Source organism: Homo sapiens, chromosome 13 (genome assembly GCF_000001405.40).
Source record: "Homo sapiens chromosome 13, GRCh38.p14 Primary Assembly".
Lineage (NCBI taxonomy): Eukaryota > Metazoa > Chordata > Mammalia > Primates > Hominidae > Homo > Homo sapiens.
The window spans coordinates 41,185,359-41,210,142 of NC_000013.11; the positions used below are offsets into that span (position 1 = coordinate 41,185,359).

The 24,784-nt window shown below is 40.0% G+C and overlaps 1 protein-coding gene, 1 long non-coding RNA gene and 1 pseudogene across 2 annotated transcripts in view, besides 5 other annotated features; 1 reads left to right on the forward strand and 2 right to left on the reverse strand.

Annotated features, from left to right (window-relative positions):
* KBTBD6-DT (KBTBD6 divergent transcript) overlaps nt 1-24,784 on the forward strand; it is a 103,759-nt gene that overhangs the window by 52,431 nt on the left and 26,544 nt on the right. The window lies entirely within an intron of this gene.
* On the reverse strand, nt 4,476-9,211 carry KBTBD7 (kelch repeat and BTB domain containing 7). Its single transcript, NM_032138.7, has one exon. It carries the CDS (start codon nt 8,897-8,899, stop codon nt 6,845-6,847), a length of 2,055 nt encoding a protein of 684 aa, NP_115514.2. The 5' UTR covers nt 8,900-9,211; the 3' UTR covers nt 4,476-6,844.
* Nucleotides 7,953-8,660: an enhancer, noted in NCBI's record as "H3K27ac-H3K4me1 hESC enhancer chr13:41767447-41768154 (GRCh37/hg19 assembly coordinates)". NCBI's record gives its function as "activates a minimal SCP1, AML or CMV promoter by ChIP-STARR-seq in primed H9 embryonic stem cells {active_cell/tissue: H9 hESC(primed)}" and the evidence as "EXISTENCE:reporter gene assay evidence [ECO:0000049][PMID:30033119]".
* Nucleotides 8,661-9,367: an enhancer, noted in NCBI's record as "H3K27ac-H3K4me1 hESC enhancer chr13:41768155-41768861 (GRCh37/hg19 assembly coordinates)". NCBI's record gives its function as "activates a minimal SCP1, AML or CMV promoter by ChIP-STARR-seq in primed H9 embryonic stem cells {active_cell/tissue: H9 hESC(primed)}" and the evidence as "EXISTENCE:reporter gene assay evidence [ECO:0000049][PMID:30033119]".
* Nucleotides 8,661-9,381: a biological region, named in NCBI's record as "H3K27ac-H3K4me1 hESC enhancer GRCh37_chr13:41768155-41768861".
* Nucleotides 8,712-8,981: an enhancer, noted in NCBI's record as "active region_7627". NCBI's record gives its function as "activates an Ori minimal core promoter by ATAC-STARR-seq in GM12878 lymphoblastoid cells {active_cell/tissue: GM12878}" and the evidence as "EXISTENCE:reporter gene assay evidence [ECO:0000049][PMID:35858748]".
* Nucleotides 9,292-9,381: an enhancer, noted in NCBI's record as "active region_7628". NCBI's record gives its function as "activates an Ori minimal core promoter by ATAC-STARR-seq in GM12878 lymphoblastoid cells {active_cell/tissue: GM12878}" and the evidence as "EXISTENCE:reporter gene assay evidence [ECO:0000049][PMID:35858748]".
* Nucleotides 14,450-15,318, reverse strand: MORF4L1P4 (mortality factor 4 like 1 pseudogene 4; annotated as a pseudogene).

The following is a 24,784-nucleotide window of genomic DNA, read 5'->3' on the forward strand; positions in this document are numbered from 1 at the left end:
GATGGAGATTGCTAATTGTGCCCTCATCCATTCTCCTTCCTTTTAGTAATAGAGCTTTTGGGATATGGGATAAGTGAGAAGGCTAAGCCAGTAAGTTCCCAGAGGAGAAGGCAAGGGGATTGGAAAAAGTTTAGGGATTAAGGGAGAGAACCCTGGGCACCTTGGAGGCTTAATTTCTGCCACTCCTAGGAATACTAGACCTAATAGCAAAAATATGAGGCAAGTTTGTGTCTCTCTGTGTTAAAGGTATGCAGGGGCCCATTTGTTTATTAAAAAATCATTATTCAGCATGATATGAAATTTAACTTTTGGCTGTGAATTTATTGTGGAAGGATAATTGTAGGGATATCTGAAATGACCATGATAACAATAATGCCTGCATGACATTGTGAACCACCTGAATCTGAATACAGAAAACCGAACATGTTTATATTAAAATATATTCATTTATTAACACTATTTATTAATAGAGCTCCGTGAGTTTTAGCAAGGCACATCCATTTAGTGACAATATTTCCCAGTTCATCTTGCAACTGGGCATGGTGATATGATTAAGTTCTCCCCAATAAAAAAAATGGCAAAAGTGATGTAAACGTCCTTTAAAATGAAAAGATTTTTTGCCTTCCATTTCCTCTTTCCCCTTTTTCACAGGCTGAAAACACAGATACAATTCTGGTGAATGTGCTTTGCTCATGAGGACAGACAACTCACTGGGGGTTGGGAGGATAAACGATAAAAGAACCTGGGCCTGTGAACAACCCCATGGGGCAGAACTAGTCTGCAATGCCTGGCTGTTCACTTCTGGACTGAATGTATATACAAAATGGTTTCTACCTTACATTCCAGGGCCTCTTTGATATGGAAGTTTGGCCTGTACTCTAACACAACATCCAAGCAAGAAACGGGAAATCACTTTAGTCATACTCCCTACAGCTCCCTCATCTCCAAACATACAATTTTAGGTCCAGATCAATTTAACTGACTTATCTGTTCCTTCCTCATCAATTCCATAACTACTCCCCCTGTTGAGAACCACATTATGTCACTGTCTGGACTACAACAACACATCCCTTTAAATGTTCTTCTTGCTGCCACAATCTTGCACTGTCAGTACATCCAGAAGGGTCTCAATAAAACAAATCCGATTTTGTCAAATCCCTATTTTAAAATTCTCAATGAATTCACATTGTATGCAAAAAAAATCAAAAAGTCCAAACTCCTTGACGGCATATAAGACCTTCAAGAGCTGATGCCTACCAACTTTTCCAGCTTGTTCTTATGCCAAGCTTCCCCTTCCATCCTAGGATCAGGTTACATCAAAATACATGCTGTACTCTGAACATTCCCACCTTTGCAACTCTGCAGTCTCTGTAGAATCTGCCACAATAGGAACTATAACCTTTATTGAGGTTATTTGCTTACCTATTGGTTTTCCTCAACATTTCCCAACTTTATCTCTTACAAGCGATCAGAGTCCTAGAACCCACAGGGAATTTTCTGCCAGAGAATACATAAAATATTGCCACTTTCCACTGGATTTTTAAAAAAGTTATTACTATCTAAATTACTAATATAAAGAGAGAAGCATACCAATGGGGTTTCTAAGTTGGTACACTGCAGTTCTTGGGACTCCTGGCAGTCATTTTAGCTGTCAGGTGATAAAAATCTAGCCTGACAGATGATGTAGTAGAGATTGCTGTTTGTATCCCAATGTTCTTTCTCAGCGTTCTTCAAGAAGGAACCACTGAATTTTAACTGGATACATGTTGACAGAATAAAGACTACCTTTTCCTTGCAGCTAGGTGTGGCCATGTAGTTAAGATTTGGCCAATGTCATGTGACCAGAAGTGATATGTACAATTTCCCTTACAGAACAGGGTCATGCCCTTCCAACATCCCATCCTGATGGCTGGAATATGGACATGAGGGTGAACCACCTTGGACCATGTGAAACAGGGTAACACCCCAAGGGCAGTAGAACAGGAAGACAACAAGCCTGGGTCTCAGATAACTTTGTAGCTCAGGATCCACATAAAAGATTGGACTGTTATATGAGAAATCCTTTTAAAGATCTATAAGGTCTCTCTTGCATACAACCAACTTATGTGCTAACTAATGTATAAAGTGAGAGAAAACCTCATCCTATGACATATTCTCTGTACTAATAAAGCCTTGAAGACATTGACACTCTGGATCAGGCTGTGCCTTGAGGTGAGAACCATTGCTATTTGCTAGGTTCCCCAAAATTAACGAATAATTTGTCCCTAAAAGAATATTCTTAAAATATGGTGGGTCTGGCTGGGTGCGGTGGCTCACACCTGTAATCCCAGCACTTTGGGAGGCCAAGGTGGATGGATTACGAGGTTAGGAGTTCGAGACCAGCCTGGCTAACACGGTGAAACCCCATCTCTCCATTGGAGAGACTCCCCACAGAGTAGGAGAAAATGTCTCAGATATGGAGGAATAATATGCAACAATATCTGTTCCCTGCCTGCCCTGTGCCTTGGACCATGTTGAATCCACAAGGGTAAAGTGAGAAACAGAAGCTGTTGGCAAAGGTCTAGGTGACAAAATAGCCCAGAGTTAAGAAAAGGGCATAAAACCTATTGCCTATAAGGTACTCCTCTAAAATTTGGCAACTTCTCTGAATGGTACCTTTTTGTTGTTATTTTTCATTTAAAAACTGTCTTGTATCTAATCAACTCTATGGTTCTCAAATAGATTATCAATTAATTCTCTTGGGATTGCTAGTCACCTTTTCTATAATTTTGCCTCCTAATACTTTCTGCTTTATTATATTTGCTGTAACAAATATTCTTTTAAAATTAGTTGTAAAGATGAAACAGTGTTGAAGTTTCAAATAGATATGGGAAGTAGAGATTTGATGAAAGGATATTTACATTCTGGTGATCAGATTTTTGGATTTCAAAGACCAGTCAATTTTCTTTTAGTGTTTAGGGGACTGATATAAGGCTGAAACATTTTTACATTTCCAATTTATGAACAATAAAACAAATAGAATAATTTTTATCTTACAGCTCATTCATTGTGTTTTATAGTTTTTCACTTCAGCACAAATTGGTAAAAATAACATCAGGCAAAGCACTGGTTCCTGGTTTAATGAGCAGGGTTTAAAAAATTGATTATATTTTTTGACTACATTTACTATAGATCCCTTTCAGGTAGATGCACTTTTCCAACCATTTGTTTTCCTATTTATGAAGAGACAATGAACTTTTGCTACTAAGATATATTTCTAGTAATGAGCCATGGTGCCAGTAGTTTGAAACATCTGAACCACGTATTTTGCTTTAAATCCTAATATATACATAGCCTTCTTGGACAATAATCGTTATCACTTACATTTGTATAACACGTAAGTTTCAAAGCTTTCATATACACTAGTGCACTTTATCCTTTGAATAGTTTACATTTCGTTACTCATTCTTGCATTACTCATCATGAGGAAATTAGAATTTCAGAAATGTCAACTTTGCCTTCATTCTGAGGTACTAATTTTTCACATTTCTTTCTGATGGTGAATGTATATTATTTCTTTTTTTATTTGTGTTTTTTTTGTTTTTTTTTTTGGAGATGGAGTCTCGCTCTGTCGCCAGGCTGGAGTGCAGTGGCACGATCTCGGCTCACTGCAACCTCTGCCTCCCGGGTTCAAGCGATTCTCCTGCCTTAGCCTCCCGAGTAGCTGGGACTATGGGCGCACGCCACCATGCCCTGCTAATTTTTGTATTTTTAGTAGAGACGGGGTTTCACCATGTTGGCCAGGATGGTCTTGATCTCTTGACCTCGTGATCTGCCCACCTTGGCCTCCCAAAGTGCTGGGATTACAGGCGTGAGCCACCACGCCTGGACGTATATTATTTCTTTCGCCCTATTTTGGGAATTACTCTTTCACCCTACAAACATTTGAGCTATGTGTCTTGTGAAAAATGCAAATTTCTTTTTGTAGATATGTTCTTGAGACCTTGTCACAAGAGTTTTTACCCTGGGTGTGTGGATGAACTTCAGAAATGTCATTATACCCTTAAAATTATGAAATTATGAACATATGAATTTTCCTGAAGAATGGGTCAAAAGTTTTCATCATATTCTCTATTAAGATCCAGGCACCAAAACAGAACAACACTGCTCAACTAGAGGAGATATGAGGGGCTATTATAACTTAATCCTAAAACTAAATTTAAACAAGTTATTTGCTAAATTAGTCTTCTATTTTACCTTTTTGAAAACACCAGTATTACTTACTGTTGAATTTAAAAACATGAAATAAAACTAAATCTTACCAATGGCAGTCCTACAAATGACATTATAGAAAGCATTTGCTAAACGATGTGCTGATTAATTGGAAAACTTAGAAAAGGGTTCTTGTCATGAAGATATTTCAACACTGCTAGTTCACTGCACAGCAAGAATTTTGTACATTTAGCAGAACCATTGAATTAGAAAGTCAGGAAACCTGGGTTCTAGTACCAGTTTTATTTATAACTAACCATGTACAAATCACTTATCTATAAAATAATGGTTAACATCTACTCCTTAATTCACAAATAGATCACAAAACCAAGATCCTTCCCAAGAAAACCTTACTGTAAACCAAGACATTCCCACTATTTAGACTAGGTTTTAACTCAAAGGTTAAGAACTCAAAGGTTGAGAAAGACAAACTGGAGCATTTGTCTTTTATTTACCAGTTGCATACCTTAATTCTGCAGATGGATAATCTGGTTGAGATAAGCATTGCCATCTCTCAATTTTTACAAAACAAAAAGCTACCAACAAGAAGTTAATGGTGAAGAAAAATTTGTCTCAAAAATAACACAATTGAGAAATAGCTTTGTATTAAGTGCAGTACTTATAACATCCCTGATGTCAAATGTACAAAATTTAGCTTTAGGTCACTAAAGCATGTTTACCCTTTTGAAGAAACATGTATTGCTAGGTCAGCCATCCTACTTCACTGGAAATAACGTTAAACTTGTAGACTGTTCAAATGGCCAATCAAAATGACTAAGAAACATTATCGTGTGTTTTTTTGTTTGTTTGTTTTTTCATCCTTTCTCTTTCCTTTTCGTTCAAAAATTCAGTTCCCCATCCTAGACCAGACTCCTCTGTCCTCTGCCAGGGTATAAGAAAAGTTAGCATTCTGTCACTATAGAACATAGAAGAGGAATTAGCATGTTATTGAATAAAGAATCAGGAAGATAATTCTAATTGGGTATAGAAAAATTTATACACCATAAACATCTGTATATGTACACCATTTATCATATATACGTATTGTGACAACCATATGTATTAATAAACCTTCAAAAGGTAAGCACCTATATTTTCTTGTAATTAACAATTTTAGTTTTGTGCAATGTAGTCTATATTTGTGGACTTCCCCTTACATATGGTGACAGAGAGACTGAAACATTGTTCACAGAGAAACACAGAACATATACAAATCTCATAATAAAATAACCATGTATACCACTGTTTAGGGAAATATTTTAGAGGAAACATACTTTCACTACTGGCCCCAAATCCCATCATCCACTTAGGTTCTTCAATGTCAACTTTTAATACAAAAATACCTTCAAGCTGATAATTAAGAACATTCACAATGACTTACAAAATGGACAATATTCCAATGCTACACAAAACGGTTCTATAATACACAGCTTAAAGTTTTAAAGTTCTTGGCTGGCAGTTGATTTTTTTTATAGCTGATAGACACGATAACTACTGATCTGAGTAAAATACTGTTTTTAGCTTATACATATGTTCTAAACCATATTACCTCACAAAACAGTAAAGAATAAATCACTTTCTGTTGAAGAATCCTCTAGGACAAACACCAAACCTACACAGCCAAAATATTTTAGGGAGGCAAGTAAACATTTTAAGACAAATCATGACCAGTGGATAAAAATTTGCATTACCCAATTATATGTCCAGGAATTGTTCCTCTGAGTCAGTAAAGCATGTATTGGGCATAAATTAAAAACACAAACATAAAAAGCAAGTTACCGTTTTTTTTTTTTTTTTTGGTTTAGAAGGGTGTTTAATTCATGACATTACTAAGAATGGGTGTTTTTTGGGATAGAAAATTGGTCACATATACCAAATACACATTTTATATTCCAAAATAAAAACTGAGATTTCTTTTAAAACAGTGGAATCCTGATTTTTTCTTTTTTTTTTTTTTTTTTTTTACTTTCTGTGAGCTTATGAGGCCATTCTGCACATTATCAAAATGAAATCATTATGCAGTAACCTTATATATATAAATCCAATTTTTTCCTTTGTAGAAGAAAACCAAAATAATTTTACAAACTACATTTAACTTAGAATATAAAGAACTGACTAGTGTAAAATTTTGAAAATCTACCACTTTATTTTGAAGGAAAGTACACATCCTTCAAAACCCCGCTAACAATTCCTAGTTCAGTTTTCTATTATACAAATCAAAAAGTTAAATTCCTTGTGGCACTAACCAAAACTTAAAAATTAACAGAAGACTGAATTAATTAAAAAAAAAGCATACTAACTAATCAAAACAATCCACTGTGCAATGAATATTTGAACAATGAAAAAAACCTACCAAGCATCCTAATCAATTATATAGTTCTTGCTTCCATATTTTAATTCTGGACTTTCAGGATGGTAAATTATTAAACAGGTCGATTTCATGGACTGTCTAAACCTTGTAGTATTTCAAAATATTACCCTTTCTAAACCAAATCTGTGGTCCTAATCAACTTTTTTTCCAAGAAAAAGAAACGATATGTGTTTAAAATACATTCCGTAGCAGTAGAAACATCTTAGTGTCTCAAAATACTATTTACAAAGAACCCTGCTGATCCTGTGCATTTCGCTGAGGTGCTACTTGCACCCAGACTTCATCATCTGAAAAAGAACTTGAACTTCCTGACTCAGAGTCCAGCTCACTGAATCCATCTAAGTCCCATTCAGTACTAGACTCACTCCGTGCATCATCTTCCTCAGTAATAAAACTCTGACCAGGTTCAAGGCAGGAAGGATAAACACGAGCACAAAGGCAAATAAAGCCAGAGTCAAACTGCAAAAGGCCTAACATGGTACCTATATTAATCCACTGATCTTCCCTAGTATCATACTCATACACTGTCACTCGGTTCTTTTTCCATTGTGGGGTTGTAGAAGTGATGAGAAGCAACTTTTGGTCATGATTGACAATCTGGTAGTTGTGGGTCTCTGAATCCAAAGGAATATTACTAATCCGCCTCCATTCTCCCCTAGCTGGGTTGTAGACCTTCATGACTGGGATGTCACAGATACAATAGATTTCATCATTGAAGACACATGCTTCCTGAAAGTCACTACGTTTAAGAGAAGCACAGTTCAGCCACATATTGTGGCTAGGATCATAGCAAAGCATGCGCTTACTGTTGACAGCATAAAGATAGTTCTGAACCACTATGAGTTCAAAGGAATAGAAGGAATGAGGGACAGGAGCCACCAATGCCCACTGGTTTCTCTGAACACTGTAGCATTCCACTTCCTTCAACTTAACTCCAGTAATAGGGTCTCGTCCCCCCAAAATGTAGATGTAGCCATTGAGATATGCCACATCCATGCCCTCACGACACAGCAAGCGATCTGCAAGTTGCTGCCAACTATTCTGAGCTGGTTTATACACCCAGAGGTCTTTCCTGGGCTGAGCAGCTAGATAGATGTCATGGTCTGGGGACACACAGACAGCTGAGGAGGTGACAGTCTTAGTGTGAGCAAAGCTGGTCAAAGGGGATGGCATTGTGTAAATGTCCCCCGAGTAAGGGTCATAGCAGAGAAAGGGATCTCTAGGATGTCCAAAGAAGATCACCATCTCCTTGGCACACATACCCAGTCTCTGGGGTGGATTTTCTGCTGCAGATACAAGAGAGTTGCTGCTGCTACTGCTGCTGCTGCTGTTTGGCACTGGCACCAGAGACTTGTACAACAGGTCACCATAGCGCATCTGCAGGGCCCCTTCAATAACGTCCAGGCAGTACTTCTTCACGATGGGCTTGGTCAGCAGCCCTTCTAAGTAGTCCTGATCTTCTTCAGTGAAGTGCATCCAGCGCACGCACTTGAAGACTTCTGCAGCACTGGGACCCCGCTCTTTGGCAGCAGCCTCCAGCCACTGCACAGCTACATGGCATACAGTCCGCTCACTCTCTATGTCCAGACTATCCAGGCGTAGGACAGCCAGCAGCTGGGCCAGGGTTAGATCTGCTAGAGTCTCCTCCCGAATTGAACCCATTCGGCTGAGCTGCTTGAAGTTGTGAGCTATGTAGGACTGGGCCTGAGATCGAAGCTTGTGATGGTCGAAGGCGTCTGCAAACTTGAGGATGGCGGTGCAGTTGGTCAGGTCAAGACGTCGGGCTAAGAAGGAGGCACAGGCTTCCCGCACATATTCCAGCTGTAGCATGTCGGAGGCCGCGTACAGGCGCTGCACATTGGCCTCACTGAGAGACACACGACCCGTGTAGCAGTAGTCGACCAACACCTCGAAGGACTCGGCGTCCACATCGTGCATGGTCACGCTGGCCTGCTGGCTCTCGTACATGCCACCTGTGAACATGCTCTTGAAGTAGGGACACGCAGCTGCTAGCACGTTGCGATTGCAGGAAAAGAGGCGACCCGTGCCAGGCCCGCTGCCAGGCGTCACCACCTCGATGGTCACATCACACAGCAGCCGCGCGTCGTAGAAGGACTTGAGCTGTGCCAGCAGGGCTGCAGAATGGGCCGTGTCCTTTAACTCCTCTGGACCCGTGAAAAAGGCCGAAACCGAGGGCTTGGAAATCCTCTTGGGCCGCCTCCCACCACGGGGACTGGCGAGGCGGCGAGAGCGCGGGACGTCTTCCCGGGACTGCATGGTGGAGATGGCGACGGGCGCTGACGGCGAGAAAGGCTGCAGGACCAGGCTCTGGCTCCTCCTCAACCTTCCCTCGCTGACGCTAAGACAAGCCGCGTCCTGGAACAGACTGCGGCACGGGCCGCACTTCTGAATTCAGCCCTATCCCGCGGTGAGGCCTCCCTTTATTGCATAGACAGTGGCTGACTCACCCTCTCTCACTCCCGCGCCCTTTCTCCGCCTCCGCTCGCCCTCACAGGACCCGCTGGCTTGCAGCCGCGGAAGCCCCCACTGCCGCGCTGGCGATCCCGCTAGGCGCCCGGGAGAACTACTGCTCCCAGGTTGCCTTTCGCGCCCCGAGGCCTGCTGGGGCTCTCGGACGGCCGGGCGGGGACAGAGGGAAAGAAACCGCTTTGCATGTTGGGAGTAGTAGTTTGTGTAATATCGCGAGCTGTCCTTTAGTTGACTGCTCTAACAGTAGAAATTAATTCTCCTGGATTTGATGGTGAAGAGACTGTTGCCCAGGCTGGTCTTGAACTCCTGAGGGCTCAAATTATCCTCCTGCCTCGGCCTCTCAATGTGCTGGGATTACAGGCGTGAGCCACCGCCCCCTGCCAGTATTTCATAGGGTTTTGTGTGGTTCAATGATACCTTACATGGGATACTTAGATACATGTATGTTTTTGGTTAGAAGAATAGTAAAGCGTTACCCCGTGCCTAGAATGTAGCCAATAACTGTTAGATTCTCTTTTATAATTTATGATAAATGAGGCACCCACTAATTTGAAACCGAGTATTATTTTAAACCGCAAAATTTTACAAAGAATTTCTAGTTTTTAATGTTTATTCCTTCGAAAGATTTTGAAGGGCATTAACAATATTTTCAATATTAAATGATATCTATTGGTCTCGTTTAATAAGGATGTCTTAGACGACTAGGTTGAGGTCCTAAAGAACAGTATTAATAGATGGTCTCAAATACGCAAATCCAGCATATAAAAATAAATTATTTGCTGCTCTCACTAACATTTCATCTCTGGAGAGCAGGAGTATTTTCGTTAAGCTCCAAATATGAGTGTTTTCAAGTCGTCTAATACAGCCTCTTTCACTGCCGTTCCACAAATCAATTAACAGATTATGTAATTCCCTTTATTAAGGAGTTTTAGGGAGTATTTTAACTCAAAATATTTCAACAAACAGACTTTGTTCTGTACAAAAGCACATGATTCTCAGAATTCAACATCAGTACATGCCCTGACATTCCTTGAATTAATATATAGTATAGTCTATGCTTTACAAAGTCTTTTATATTTGCATTGGGATCAACAGTTAAATCATCAAAATCAAGTATTAGAGATTTGAGGCAGGAAAATAGGGTCTGGAGGCAGGGAACATAAGGCTGATTCACACTTTAGCTATAACAGGAAAGATCCTCTCCATAGGGTGTATGCTGAGTAAATGAGTTTGTAACTTTACTTCATTCTCTTCATTTACATAGGGTGTACACCAAGTAACCAGTGGAATCCTCTAGAGGGTATTTAAACCTTCAGAAATTCTGTAACAGGGCCCTTGAGCCCCTATGCTCAGGCCCGCTCCCCACTGTGGAGTGTACTTTCATTTTCAGTAAATCTCTGCTTTTGTTGTTTCATTGTTTCCTTGCTTTGTTTATGTGTTTTGTCCAATTTTTTGTCCAAAACGCCAAGAACCTGGACACCCTCCACCAGTAACAGACTTTTTCAGATAACTTTTATTACAAAACCATGACTGCTCCTGCTGCTAGTTTGTTATGTTACCATAACCTAATAAAGAAAATCATCAGTGTTACATGCATGTATGGATAACACATTACAAGAGAATAACTTTCAAATTGTTTTTCTCTTATCAGCTGAAGATAACTTCAACTTATCAGCTGAAGTCCACTGGAAATACTCTAGGGTAGACACATTAAATTAAGTCAGCCTCTGGGCTCTAATAACTCCTCTGTAAATAAAAAGAGATGTTAGATATCCCTCAGATACACCAGAGAGAATCAAGTCAGTCATTATCAGTAACAATGATTGTTTCCTGACTTGCAGTGAATACCAGCTGGGGAAAAAAGCCTTTTTTTTTTCTTTTTTTTTTTTTTTTTTGAGATGGGGTCTTGCCCTGTCACCCAGGTTGGAGTGCAGTGGCACCATAATAGCTCACTGCTGCCTCAAACTCCAGTGCTCAAGCAATACTTTGCCCTCAGCCTCCCAAGTAACTAGAGCTATAGATGCATACCACCACACCCAGTTAATTAAAAAAAAATTATAGACAGGGTCTCACTGTGTTGCCAGCCTGGTCTGGAAATCTTGGTGTCAAGCACTCTTCCTGCCTGAGCCTCTGAGTTGCTGCAATTACAGGCATGAGCCACATGCCCAGCGCAGGAATGGCCATTTTAAAAAACTTCTTAAAATATTGGTAAAATATACATAACACTAAATTTACCATTTAAACATTTTCAGTGTATAGTTCTTTAGCATTAAATATATTCACACGGTTTTGCCACTATCACAAAACTGAAGCTCTGTACCCATTTAAACAATAACTCTCTAGCCCCCACTTCTGGCAACTGCCATTCTACTCTTTGTCTCTATGACTTTTGACTACTCTAGGTACCTCATATAGGCAGTGACTGATTTTTACCTTCCTTATATCTGCTCTTACTGTGTTATTTGGTTTAGGTTACCTGTCACACAATTGAAGATATCTATTAGGCACTATTCCCTAAGATCTAGAGCTATGTGCTGTCCCATAAAACTTGGGAATATTTTATATTTGTGCTGGCTGATACAGTAGCCAGAAGCCACATGTAGCTCTTGGGTACGTGAAATGTGGCTAGTGCAACTGAGGAATTAAATTTAAAATTTTAGAAATACAGCATGATACCAATGCAATTCAATGAAGAAAGAAAATTCTTTTCAACAAATGTTATTGGAACAACTGGATCAAGAATGTAAGACAGAAAGTTGCCCTTGCCCCTACCTTACACCATAAGCAAAAAATTAATTCAAAATTTCTCCTAATACTAAATGGAAAAGTGGAAACTATAAAGCTTCAAAAAGAAAACATAGGGCCGGGTGCAGTGGCTCACACCTGTAATCCCAGCACTTTGGGAGGCTGAGGCAGGCGGATCATGAGGTCAGGAGATTGAGACCATCCTGGCTAACACGGTGAAACCCTGTCTCTACTAAAAATACAAAAAATTAGCTGGGCATGGTGGCAGACACCTGTAGGCCCAGCTACTCAGGAGACTGAGGCAGGAGAATGGCATGAATCCAGGAGGCGTAACTTGCAGTGAGCCAAGATTGCGCCACTGCACTCCAGCCTGGGCGACAGAGCGAGACTCCGTCTCAGAAAAAAAAAAAAAAGAAAAGAAAAGAAAACATAGAAGACTATAGCTTTGCGGTTGGCAAAGTTTTCTTGGGACACCAAAAACACAGATCATAAAAAAAAGACAAAGTGAATTTCAAAAGTGAATTTCAACAAAATTACAAGCTGCTGCCTATGGAAAGGCAGTGAAAACAACAAAAGATAAACCACAGACTGGGAAAAAATATTGGTAACATGTATACCCGGTGGCCAATGCACATTAAATTCACAATAAGAAAACACTGAATACCCACTAGAATGCCTTAACTTAAAAACATCAATGATACTATATATTAGTGGAGATATGGAGCCGTTGGAACTCTCATATGCTAATAATAGGAATATAAATTGGTATAACCACATTAGAAAATTCTTTTGTAGTTTCTTTTAATGTTAAACGCCGTGTAATTTCACTCCCAGGCAGTTGCCTCAGGGAAATGAAAACATATATCCACAAAAACACTTGTATAAGTATCTTCATAATAGTGTTAATGACAAAGCTGGTCCTGTGAAGATGAGATTTTTCCCTGTTCTATGTCATGAAGCCAAGATGCGAAACTGAAAGTGAGCATCAAGCAGTGCAGGTTTTATTCCATGGCCATGGATTTGAGAAGCAGGAGCATGGCTCACAAATCAATTTCTCAGCTTCTGAGAGCCGGGAAGTCATAGATATAGGGCATCTTTAATGAAGGGGATGGGTATTAAAAGCAAGGGGTGGGGCTGGGCACAGTGGCTCACACCTGTAATTCCAGCACTTTGGGAGGCCAAGGCGGGCAGATCACTTGAGCCCAGGAGTTCCAGATCAGCCTGGGGAACATGGTGAAACCCCGTCTCTACTAAAATACAAAAATTAGCTGGATGTGGTGACGGACACCTGTAATCCCAGCTACTCAGGAGGCTGAGGCAGGAGAATCACTTGAATCTGGGAGGCAGAGGTTGCAGTGAGCCCAGATCACACCACTGGACTCCAGCCTGGGCAACAGAGCAAGACTCCTTCTCAAAAAAGAAAAAGCAAACGGAGGAATATTCGTGTGTTTTCTTGGCATGTGTGAAGAACTCGGAAACCAGAGTGCCACATTACTTTTTGTCCTTTTATGGTTTCTTCTGATCATTGTCATGGTGATTGTCAACTGTCATGCAGCTGGCAGGAGTGTCATTTAACATAGAGATTAGATCATAATGAAGTTAGAAGTTCTTCAGAGGTCAAGTGAGCTGATATTTTGTCCACCAGTCTCTGCCAGTTTGGTCACAATGGGGAACTTCTGATCTCAGGCATAAGCAGAGTTAAGGTAGAGTAGAAATTCACTTAGGTCACTAAGCATTATGCTGCGTAACAGTAGCTTTATCCATAGTATCCAGAAGTAGAAACAATCCAAATATACATCAACAGGAGAATGAAAAAAATTGTAGTATATGTATTAGTTCGTTTTCATGCGGCTGATAAAGACATACCCAAGACTGGATAATTTATAGAGAAAAAGAGGTTTAATGGACCTGCAGTTAAATGTGGCTAGGGAGGCCTCACAATCATGGCAGAAGTTGAAAGGCATATCTTACGTGGCAGCCGGCAAGAGAGAATGAGAAGAAATATTGGGCCAAGCAAAAAGGGAAAACCCCTTATAAAACCATCAGATCTCGTGAAACTTTTTCACTACCACAAGAATAGTATGGAGGAAACTGCCCCATGATTCAATTATCTCCCACCGGGTACCTCCTATAACACGTGGGAATTATGGGAGCTACAATTCAAGATGAGATTTGGGTGAGGACACAGCCAAACCACATCAGCATATTCCTACAGTGTAAAAGTACTCAGAAGTAAGAAAGAAACAACCTCTGATATATAATAATGTGAATGGTTCTCAAAAATTTTATGTTGAGCAAAAGAAGCCAGATACACAAGAGTAGACACTGTATGACCATTTGTGTGAAGTTCCAGAACACTGAAAATAAGCTTTGATGAATAAAAATCATAATAGAGGCTTCCTCTCTTGTGTAAGGGGTAGTGGGGAGGTGGCAAATTGCTAGACTGACTAGAAAGGAACATGAGGAAATGTCTAGGGCTGATGCAAATGTTTTCTTCTAGACCGGGCTGGTGGTTACATGGGTGAATGCAATTGCTAAACTCAATAAACTGTACTCTTCACATCTGTGCATTTTGCGTACTGTAATTATCCTCTCAGGAACAGCCACTTCATAATTGTTGGCTTTAAATAAAATTGCAGAATTCTTTACCAGGAAGTCATTATGAAGATAGTTCAGTCATAAAGCAAGGTTCTTCTCCTCTAGAGGTGTTTGGGTCAACATTGGTCCAATTCATACAAATTATATCAACAGATGTGGTCTTCCATACCCCTGGAACTTGAGTGCCTCTGGGTAATCTTCAAGGATTTCAGCATGCTGGAGTCTTTCAGATTTGTAAAGTATCTGAGTGCCTAACATTATATTCAAATATTTTCCATTTTTGCCACAACCATATTAAAAACATACTCCTTATTATCTGTGGTCCCTCAAGTTTTCTTGTAATTTACATAATTCTCTACAATAGAATCCACATTTTTCCTGGCACGAAGATAAAGCTGTTTTTGTTTGGTCATTATGTCTCACTCATCAACAAAACATGGTTTTAATTCTTCAGAAATCTTTAACTTCAACTCTCTTCATGAATGTTTTCAACAGCGGCATCTACTGGGGCTCTTCTGAGGAGGCTGAGGTATCTCATTGGTACTGCTCCATTTCCATTTCCACATGATTTCAACATTTTTCCCTTGCAGACCAGATGTCTTCTTTGCTGGGGCAGCCTCTCTCCTCTTCCCCCATGAATTTTGTTCCTGATTTGCTTCTCGAAGTTCTCCCGGTTTCTACAGATTGGTGTTCATGTACCTGAGTACTCTACTTTTTGGAGCCCATTCATTCCAATTTTCATCCAATCCACCGTAATGTGTAAAGTATTTCACTTGTTTGTCCTCGATGGCAACTTTTACATAATTTGCTTCATAAAGAGGCCCATAAAAGCACAGCACCTACTCACTTCAGAGTTTAGGCTTCAGTACCATTTGTAAGTGATAACCCCGACTCCCTTCTCCTACCTCACCCAGCTACTGCTCCCTATGCTGTATCCCATCCAATTCAGCGTCAGGTAGGCTGTCAGGCACTGCCAGCTGTACAGCCTGGGCCCCTCAGTATTGTTTTTACTTTGATTTTTAAGTAGAGTCTACAAACTGTTAACGCCTTTATTTCTGTATTCAAAATGATTTCTGCTATGGATTGTCCCCTCCAAAACTGATGTTGAAACATAATCCCCAATGTGGCAGTATTGAGAGGTGGGTCCTTTAGTGGGTGATTGAATCACAGGGCTCTGCCCTCATGAATAGATTAATCCACCCATGGATTAATGGGTTATCAGGTTAATGGATTAATGGAATAATGGGTTAATGGATTAATGAGTTATCAGGGGAAAGGAACTGGTGGCTTTATAAGAGGAGAGACCTGAGCTAGCAGGCTCAACTCTCCCTCTCATGTGATACCTTGTACTGCCTCGGGACTTTGCAAATTACCCACTAGCAAGAAGGCCCTCACCAAACATGACCCCTTGACCTTGATTTCTCAGCTTACAGAACGGTAAGAAATAAATTCCTTTTCTTGTTGTTGTTGTTTTGAGACAGCCTTGCTCTGTCGCCCAGGCTGGAGTGTAGTGGTGTGATCTTGGCTCACTGCAACCTCCACCTTGAGGGTTCAAGTGATTGTCCTGTCTCAGCCTCCTGAGTAGCTGGGATTACAGGGGTGCACCACCACACCCGGCTAATTTTTTGTATTTTTAGTAGAGATGTGGCAATATTGACCAGGCTGGTCTCGAACTCCTGGCCTCAAGTGATCTGCCCGTCTCGGCCTCCCAAAGTACTGGGATTACAGGCGTGAGCCACCGCGCCTGGCCAAATTCCTTTTCTTTATAAGTTACCCAGTTACAGGTATTCTGGTATGTGCAACACAAAATGGACTAATACAACTCCACTGCCTTTAGTCATTGGCTGCCAGGAGAGTTTTTATGGGTCCACCCTCCCCTACCTCAGTTGGAGGGTACCTAGTGAGGGGGCTGCCTTGGGGCGTGACTTCCGTTCCACATTTATTTCATAGCAGCTAACTTGTTTCAGACCTGTTATACACCATTTTTGTTTGTTTGTTTGTTTTTTTGAGACAGAGTCTCGCTCTGTCACCCAGGCTGTAGTGCAGTGCAAGCTCCGCCTCCCGGGTTCACGCCATTCTCCTGCCTCAGCCTCCCAAGTAGCTGGGACCACAGGTGCCTGTCGCCACGCCCAGCTAGTTTTTTCTCTTTTTTTTTTGTATTTTTAGTAGAGACAGCGTTTCACCGTGTTAGCCAGGATGGTCTCCATCTCCTGACCTCGTGATCTGCCCACCTCAGCCTCCCAAAGTGCTGGGATTATGGGAGTAAGCCACTGCACCCAGCCTATCTTTTTTTTTTCTTTTTTAAGAGATAGGGTCTTATTATGTTCCCCAGGCTGGTCTCAAATTCCTGAACTCAAGTGATTATCCCACCTCAGCCTCTTAACTTTTAATTTTATTATTTAAAAACTTGTATTGAAGTATAGCATACACTATCTGGACATGGTGGCACAGGCCTCTAGTCTCAGCTACTCAGGAGGCTGAGGTGGGAGGATTGCTTGAGCCTGAGAGATGGAGGTTGCAGTGAGTTGGGATCATGCCACTGCACTTCAGCCTGGGCAACAAAGCAAGACCCTGTCTCAGGAAAAAAAAAAAAAAGGTGAAGTATAGCATACATACATATACAGAAAATGGGACAAATAAAAATTGTAAATGCAATGAATTATCACAAAATAAATACACCTGTGTAACCTCCACTCAGGTCAGAAATAGAACATTATCAGCATCCCAGAGGCTCCACTTCCCCAACTCCAGCCCAAGTGCCCCTAATTGCCATTGTGCATCACAAAATGAGTCACACTTTAAAAAATAATTTCTTTTATTTTTTGACTGTCAGTAGTAGTTTGTTGATCCTAAGTTGCTTGACTCAATTTCATATTCAATTTAAAATATATCTAAAGTATACTTTGATATAAAGTTTGTTATTCCTTGATATTCTAAAGATGTTATGCATATGAGACAATAAATTTTGGCTTTTCAGATTTTTAACAAGAATCCTGACATAGTTTTGGCTTCTATCTTCATTTCCTAACATTTTTCTATTAACAGTTAAAAGATGTCAAGTTGATTTCCATACTTTGGGAGACTAATAGGTTATCTTAGTGAAGCAGGATTACGAGTTTAATTAAATTTCACTGTATGAAAATCATGTGTAGAACAATTAAAATACTTACTAATTGAGTAATAGATGTCCTGGATTCTTGCTACTCCAAGTGTTGTTTGTGGGTCAGCAGTTTCCACTTGTTAGAAATGCAGAATCACAGGCCCCAGCCAGGCCCCAGATCTCTTTCTCTTTCTGCTTCTTTCTTTTTTTGTTTTTTTGAGACAAAGTCTCGCTCTGTCACCCAGACTGGAGTGCTGCAATGGCATGATCTCAGCTCACTGCAACCTCCGCCTCCCGGGTTTGAGCGAGTCTCCTGCCTCAGCCTCCTGAGTAGCTAGGATTACAGGCGTGTGCCACCACATCTGGCTAATTTTTGTATTTTTAGTAGAGATGGGGTTTCATCATGTTGGCCAGGCTGGTCTTGAACTCCTGACCTCGTGATCCACCTGCCTCAGCCTCCCAAAGTGTTCGGATTACAGGCATGAGCCACCGTGCCCATCCCTTTTTTTTTTTTTTATAGAGTCTCGCTTTGTCACTCAAGCTGGAGTGCAGTGGTGCCATCATAGCTCACTGCAGCCTCAACCTTCTGGGCTCAAGTGGTCTTCCCACCTCAGCCTCTCAAGTAGCTGGGACACACCACCACACCCAGCTGGTTTTTAAATTTTTTTGTGGAGATGGAGTCTCACTATGTTGCCCAGACTGGCCTCAAACTCCTGATCTCAGGTGATTCGCCCACCTTGGCCTCCCAAAGTGTTGGGATTATTGGCATGAGCCACCACACCCAGCCAAGAACATCACCATTTTGTAACTCCCAATACAACAGCTGACTCAGGCAAAGCAAGAATCATTAATTGATGTTAAATCCATGATATAAAAGTTCATTAAGTGCAACAGTTATGTATTGTGGCCTAACTATTTAGCAACTGGAAACAACAAACATTAATCAACTCATAGTTTCCAAGGGTCCAGGTTATCGTGGAGCAGCTTAGGGAATTACTGCTGGCTCAAGGTCTCTCCCCATGAAATTATAGTTAAACTGTTGGCCGGGGCCAAAGTCGCTGCAAAACATGACTGGAGCGGAGTGATTTGCTTCCAAGTTCACTTGTGCTTCTTGGCAGGCCTCAGTTCTCTGAGGGCTTTTGGACTAAGGGCCTCAGATTTGCTACACTATGTAGACCGCTCCATAGAGGTACATCAATCTTGCTTCCACCAGCACAAGTGTGAGAAGGAGAAACACAGGCCGAGCCAGAAACAACAGTATTTTTATAACCTAATATTGGAAGTGACAATCCCACCACTTCTGTTGTATTCTACTTGTTAGAAGAGTTGATAGATCTGGTCCACATTCAAGGGGAGATTACAGCAGCAGATGAATGCCAGCAGTGGGCATCACTGGGGTCCTCTCAGAAGCTGCCTAGCCCAATGAGGAACCAATGTTTATATGATGCCAAAGTATTACCCTACAGATTTCATACTAATTATTAAGGAGAACATGTACTAGTATCATTATATTAGTGACCATACTGTCAAAGATAAACACAGCTGGACCATTAGTTAAAGTGGTGAAAACAGATTTTATTTAGTGATCTGACAGTAGCAGAAAGAGCGTAGCTCCTTTCTGATTTTTACAGCAGTGATTTGGGTGTTTTAAAGGGAGGATGAGAGAGCGGAGAGTGCAGGGACTCAGCAGAGTCAGAGAAGTGAAATAGTACAAAGGGTTGGTCAATGTGATGTGCTTAGGCCAGCTGAGTCTACTAGCTGCTAGTTATCTAAGATAGGATTCCCAGAGACGGGGAGATAGAGGGCCTATCCTTCCTGGTGATTGTATTTCAAAGGACTAACTTTCAGGTCCTTGAGAGAGATGCTTCTGAGTTGCAAGAGATACACAATAACAATTGCAAACCCTTTATAACAAATCCTCTAAGAAATGGAGGTCATGGGCCTATTGTCAAATGTGTGTTGGCTAGAACAAATAGTACATTTTCCTGGCAACGTTGAGCTTTCTCAGGCAGGCATTTTACGAGGGGGCTGGGGGTCATCCTAGGGACACAGCCTCATGCTGCTAGGTTCCGTGCTAGAGTTTGGTCAAGTCTCTTAGTGCAGAGGTTTGTATGCAGTTGTCATGTACCAAGAGTTCTGCAGTTCTCAAAACTTAGTATTACTAATAGTGGAACCTCTTCATGTGATGCAATTTGAATATCACATCACCTAAAAGATAGTCTTGCCAGGTGTGTTTAATCTGAATTTCATTAGTTTTAAACTTAATTTTACTTTATAGGACTGATGTAGTTTGGATATTTGTCCCCACAAATCTCATGTTGAAATGTAATCCCCAGTGTTAAAGGTGGAGCCTGGTGGGAGGTGCTTGGGTCATGGAGGCAAATCCTGCATGGCTTGGTGCTTTTTTTTTTTTTTTTTTTTTTTGAGATGGAGTTTTGCTCTTGTTGCCCAGGCTGGAATGCAATGGCATAATCTCGGCTCACCACAACTTCCGCCTCCCGGGTTCAAGCGGTTCTCCTGCCTCAGCCTCCTGAGTAGCTGGGATTACAGGCATGAGCCACCACACCCGGCTAATTTTGTATTTTTAGTAGAGATGGGGTTTCTCCATGTTGGTCAGGCTGGTCTCGAACACCTGACCTCAGTAATGATCCGCCCGCCTCGGCCTCTCAAAGTGCTGGGATTACAGGTGTGAGCTACCACACCCAGCCAACTTGGTGCTGTCTTTGCGACAGTGAGTTCTCAGGAGATCTAGTTGTTTAAAACTATGTGGCACCCCTTCCCCTGCTTCTTGCTCTTCAGATGTCCCTGTTTCTGCTTCACCTCTGCCATGAGTAAAAAGCTCCCTGAGGCCTCCCAAGAAGAAAAGCAGATGCCAGTGGCATCCTTTTATAGCCTGCAGATCTGTGAGCTAGTTAAACATCTTTTCTTTATAAATTACTCAGCCTCAGGCATTTCCTTATAGCAATGCAAAAACAGCCTAATACAAGTATATTGATTTAACCAAATACATTAAATTAAGTGGATGGATGAAAGTTACCAATATCATAAGGAAATAGCCAGACAAATCCAGAATATAGGTCATTCTACAAAACAACTTTGTTGGACTCGAAAAAGTCAATGTCATGTGGGAAAAAAAGGTACGGGGATGTTATGCTTCGAATGTGTCCCCCAAATTTCATGTGTTGGAAACCTAATTCCCAAATTCATCTGTTGATTGCATTTGGAGGTAGGGTGTTTGAGGGGTAATTGGGATTAGATAAGGTTATCAGGTTGGGATCCCCATGATGGGACTGGTGGCTTTATATGAAGAGGAAGAGAGACCTGAGCTATACGCTCTTGTTCTCTATGTGATGCCTTCCACCATGTTGTGACACAGCAGGAAGGCCCTCACCAGATGCCAGTGCCAGTCCCTTCAACTTTCCAGCCTGCAGAACTATAACAAATAATGTGTTTTCATAAATTACTCATTCTCAGATAGTCTGTTATAGTAATAGAAAACAGACTAAGGGTATTAATCTAGAATCTAAACAGACATTCAAATGCAATGTGTGAATCTTAGTTGGATCCTGAATTAGACAAAACAAAAACAGCTAAAAAAGACATATTGGGGAAAAACTGAAGAAATTTTAATATATAAGAGCTATTAGGTCTGTTATATGATTGTTAATTTTATTAGGTGTGATAATGGTGTTGGTTTTGTAGGAGAATGTCCTTATTCTTAGGAGATGCATTCTGAAATATTTTGCTGAGGTCTGCAATTAACTCTTCAATCATCCAACCACCACCACAGAAGTGTGTGTGTGTGCAGACAGAAAAAAGCCAAATGCAGCAAAATGGGAATAGTAGTTGAATCTAGAGTACACAGTGTTGATTGAAATATTAATTTTTAATTTTTGTGGGTACATAGTAGGTATATATATTTATGGGGCACATGACATTTTGATACACACAGGCAATGGATAATAATCACATCAGGGTAAATGGGATATCCATCGCCTCAAGCACTTATCCTTCATGTTACAATCCAATTATACTATTGTAGTTATTTTTAAATTTACAGTTATTATTGACTATAGTCACTCTGTTTTGCTATCAAATACTTTTTCTTATTCATTCTCTCTATTTTTTGTACCCATTAACCATCCCCACTCCCCTCACCTAACCCCCACTACCCTTCCCAGGTAATTATCCTTCTTCTATCTCCATGAGTTCAATTGTTTTAATTTTTAACTCCCATAAGTAAGTGAGAACATAAGTTTACCTCTGTGCCTGGCTTATTTCACTTAAAATAATGATCTCCAGTTCCATCCATGTCGTTGCAAGTGACTGAATCTCATTCTTTTTTATGGGTGAATACACCATTGTGTATATGTACCACATTTTCTTCGTCCATTCAGCTGTTGATGGACACTTTGGACACTGTTCTCCATAGTGGTTGTACTAATTTACATTCCCACCAACAGTGTACAAGGGTTCCCTTTTCTCCATACTCTCACCAGCATTTGTTATTGCCTGTCTTTTGAATAAAAGCCATTTTAACTGGGGTGAGATATTTCACTGTGGTTTTGTTTTGTATTTATCTGATGATCAATGATGTTGAGCGCTTTGTCATATACCTGTTTGCCACTTATAGGTCTTCTTTTGAGAAAAGTCTATTCAGATCTTTTGCCCATTTTTAAATTAGACTATTCATTTTTTTTGTATAGAGTTGTGTGAGCTCCTTATATATTCTGGTTATTAATCCCTTGTCAGATGGGTATTTTGCAAATATTTTCTCCCACTCTGTGGGTTGTCTCTTCACTTTGTTGATTGTTTCCTTTGCTTTGCAGAAGCTTTTTAACTTGATATAATCCCATTTATCAGTTTTTGATTTGGTTGCCTGTGCTTATGGGGTATTACTCAATAAATCTTTGCCCACTCCTATGTCCTGGAGAGTTTCCCCAAAGTTTTCTTTTTCTAGTTTCATAGCTTGAGGTCTTAGGTTTAAGCCTTTAATCCATTTTGATCTGATTTTTGTACATGATGAGAGGTAGGAGTCTAGTTTCATTCTTCTGCACATGGATATCCAATTTTCCCAGCACTGTTTATCGAAGAGACTGTCTTTTCCCCAGTGCATGTTCTTGGCACCATTGCCAAAAATAAGTTCACTATAGATGTATGGATTTGTTTCTGGGTTCTCTATTCTGTTCCATTGGTCTATGTGTCTGCTTTTATGCCAGTACCATGCTGTTTTGGTTACTATAGCTCTATAATATAATTTGAAGCCAGGTAATATGATTCCTCCAGTCTTGTTCATTTGGCTCAGGATAGCTTTGGCTATTATGGGCTTTTGTAGTTCTATATAATGTTTAGAATTGCTTTCTCTATTTCTGTGAAGAATGTCACTGGTATTGTGATAGGGATTGCATTGAATACGTAGATTGCTTTGGGTAGTATGGCCATTTTAACAATATTCATTCTTTCAATCTATGAACATGGAATATGTTTCCATTTTTTTGGTGTCCTCTTCAATTTCTTTCATCAGTGTTTTATAGTTCTCATTATAGAGATCTTTTACTGCTTTGGTTAATTCCAAGATATTTTATCTGTAGACATTATAAATTGGATTACTTTCTTGATTTCTTTTTCAGATTGTTCACTTGTGGTATTCTTCACAGAAACAGAAAAAACAAATGCTACTGATTTTGTATCCTGCAACTTTACGGAATTTTTTTTTATCAGTTCTAATAGTTTTTTGGTGAAGTCTTTACATTTTTCCATATATAAAATCATATCTGCAAACAAGGATAATTTGACTTCTCCCTTTCTAATTTGGATGCCTTTTATTTCTTTCTCTTGTCTGACCGCTCTAGCCAGGACTTCCAGTACTATGTTGAATAACAGTGGTGACAGTGGACATCCTTGTTGTGCTCCAGATCTTAGAGGAAAGACTTTCAGTTTTTCCCCATTGAGTATGATACTAGCTATGGGTCTGTCATACATGGCTTTTATTATGTTGAGATATATTCCTTCTGTACCCAGTTTTCTGAGGTTTTTTTTTTTAACATGAAGGGATGTTGAATTTTATTAATTTTATTCATGCTTTTTCAGCACTAATTGAAATGATCATATGATTTTTGTCCTCCATTCTGTTAATATGATGTATCATATTGATTGATTTGCATATGTTGAACTATCCTTGAATCCTTGGGACAAGTCTCACTTGGTCATGATGAATGATGTTTTAAAATGTGTTGCTGAATCCAGTTTGTTAGTATTTTGTTGAGGATGCTTGCATCAATATTCATCAGGGATATTGGCCTGTGTGTTTTTTTTTTTTTTTTTAATGTGTCTTTGTCTGATTTTGTTATCAGGGTAATACTGGCCCCAGAGAATGAGTTTGGAAGTATTCCCACCTCCTCTGTTTTTCAGAATTGTTTGAATAGGATTGGTGTCCATTCTTTAAATGTTTCGTAGAATTCAGCAGTGAAGCCATCAGGCCCCAGGCTTTTCTTTACTGGGAGACTTTTTTTTTTCTCTTTTTTTTTTTACAGCTTTGATCTTGTTACTTGTTATTGGTCTGTTCAGGTTTTGGATTTCTTCATAGTTCAATCTTGGTAGGTTGTATGTGTTTAAGAATTTATCCATTTCCTCTAAATTTTCCAACTTACTGGCATATAGTTGCTTATAGTAGCCAGTAATGAACCTTTGAATTTCTGCAGTATCAGTTGTAATGTGACCGTTTTAATCTCTGATTTTATTTACCTGGGTCTTCTCTCTTTTGTCTTAGTTAGTCTGGCTAAAGGTTTGTCCAATTTTATCTTTTCAAGAAACCACCGTTTCATTTCATTGATCTTTTGTATCATTTTCTTCATTTCAATTTCATTTATTTGTGCTCTAATTTTTATTATTTCTTTTCTTCTACTAATTTTGGGTTTGGTTTGCTCTTGCTTTTCTAGTTCTTTAAGATGCCCCGCTAGGTTATTTATTTGAAGTTTTTCTTTTTTTATGGTGTAGGTACTTGTAGCTATAACTTTCCCTCTTAGTACTGTTTTCACTGTATCCCATAGAATTTGGTATGCTATGTTTCCATTATCATCTGTTTCAAGATATTTTTCAATTACTTTCTTAATTTCTTCATTGACTCATTGGTCATTCAGGAGTATATTAATTTCCATGCATTTGTATAGTTTCCAAAATTCCTCATTATTGATTTCCAGTTTTATTCCATTGAGGTAAGATGCTTGATT

Bases quoted from the DNA above. Each gene is read 5' to 3' on its own strand.
- KBTBD7 (NM_032138.7), bottom strand. From the start codon at position 8,899: ATGCAGTCCCGGGAAGACGTCCCGCGCTCTCGCCGCCTCGCCAGTCCC.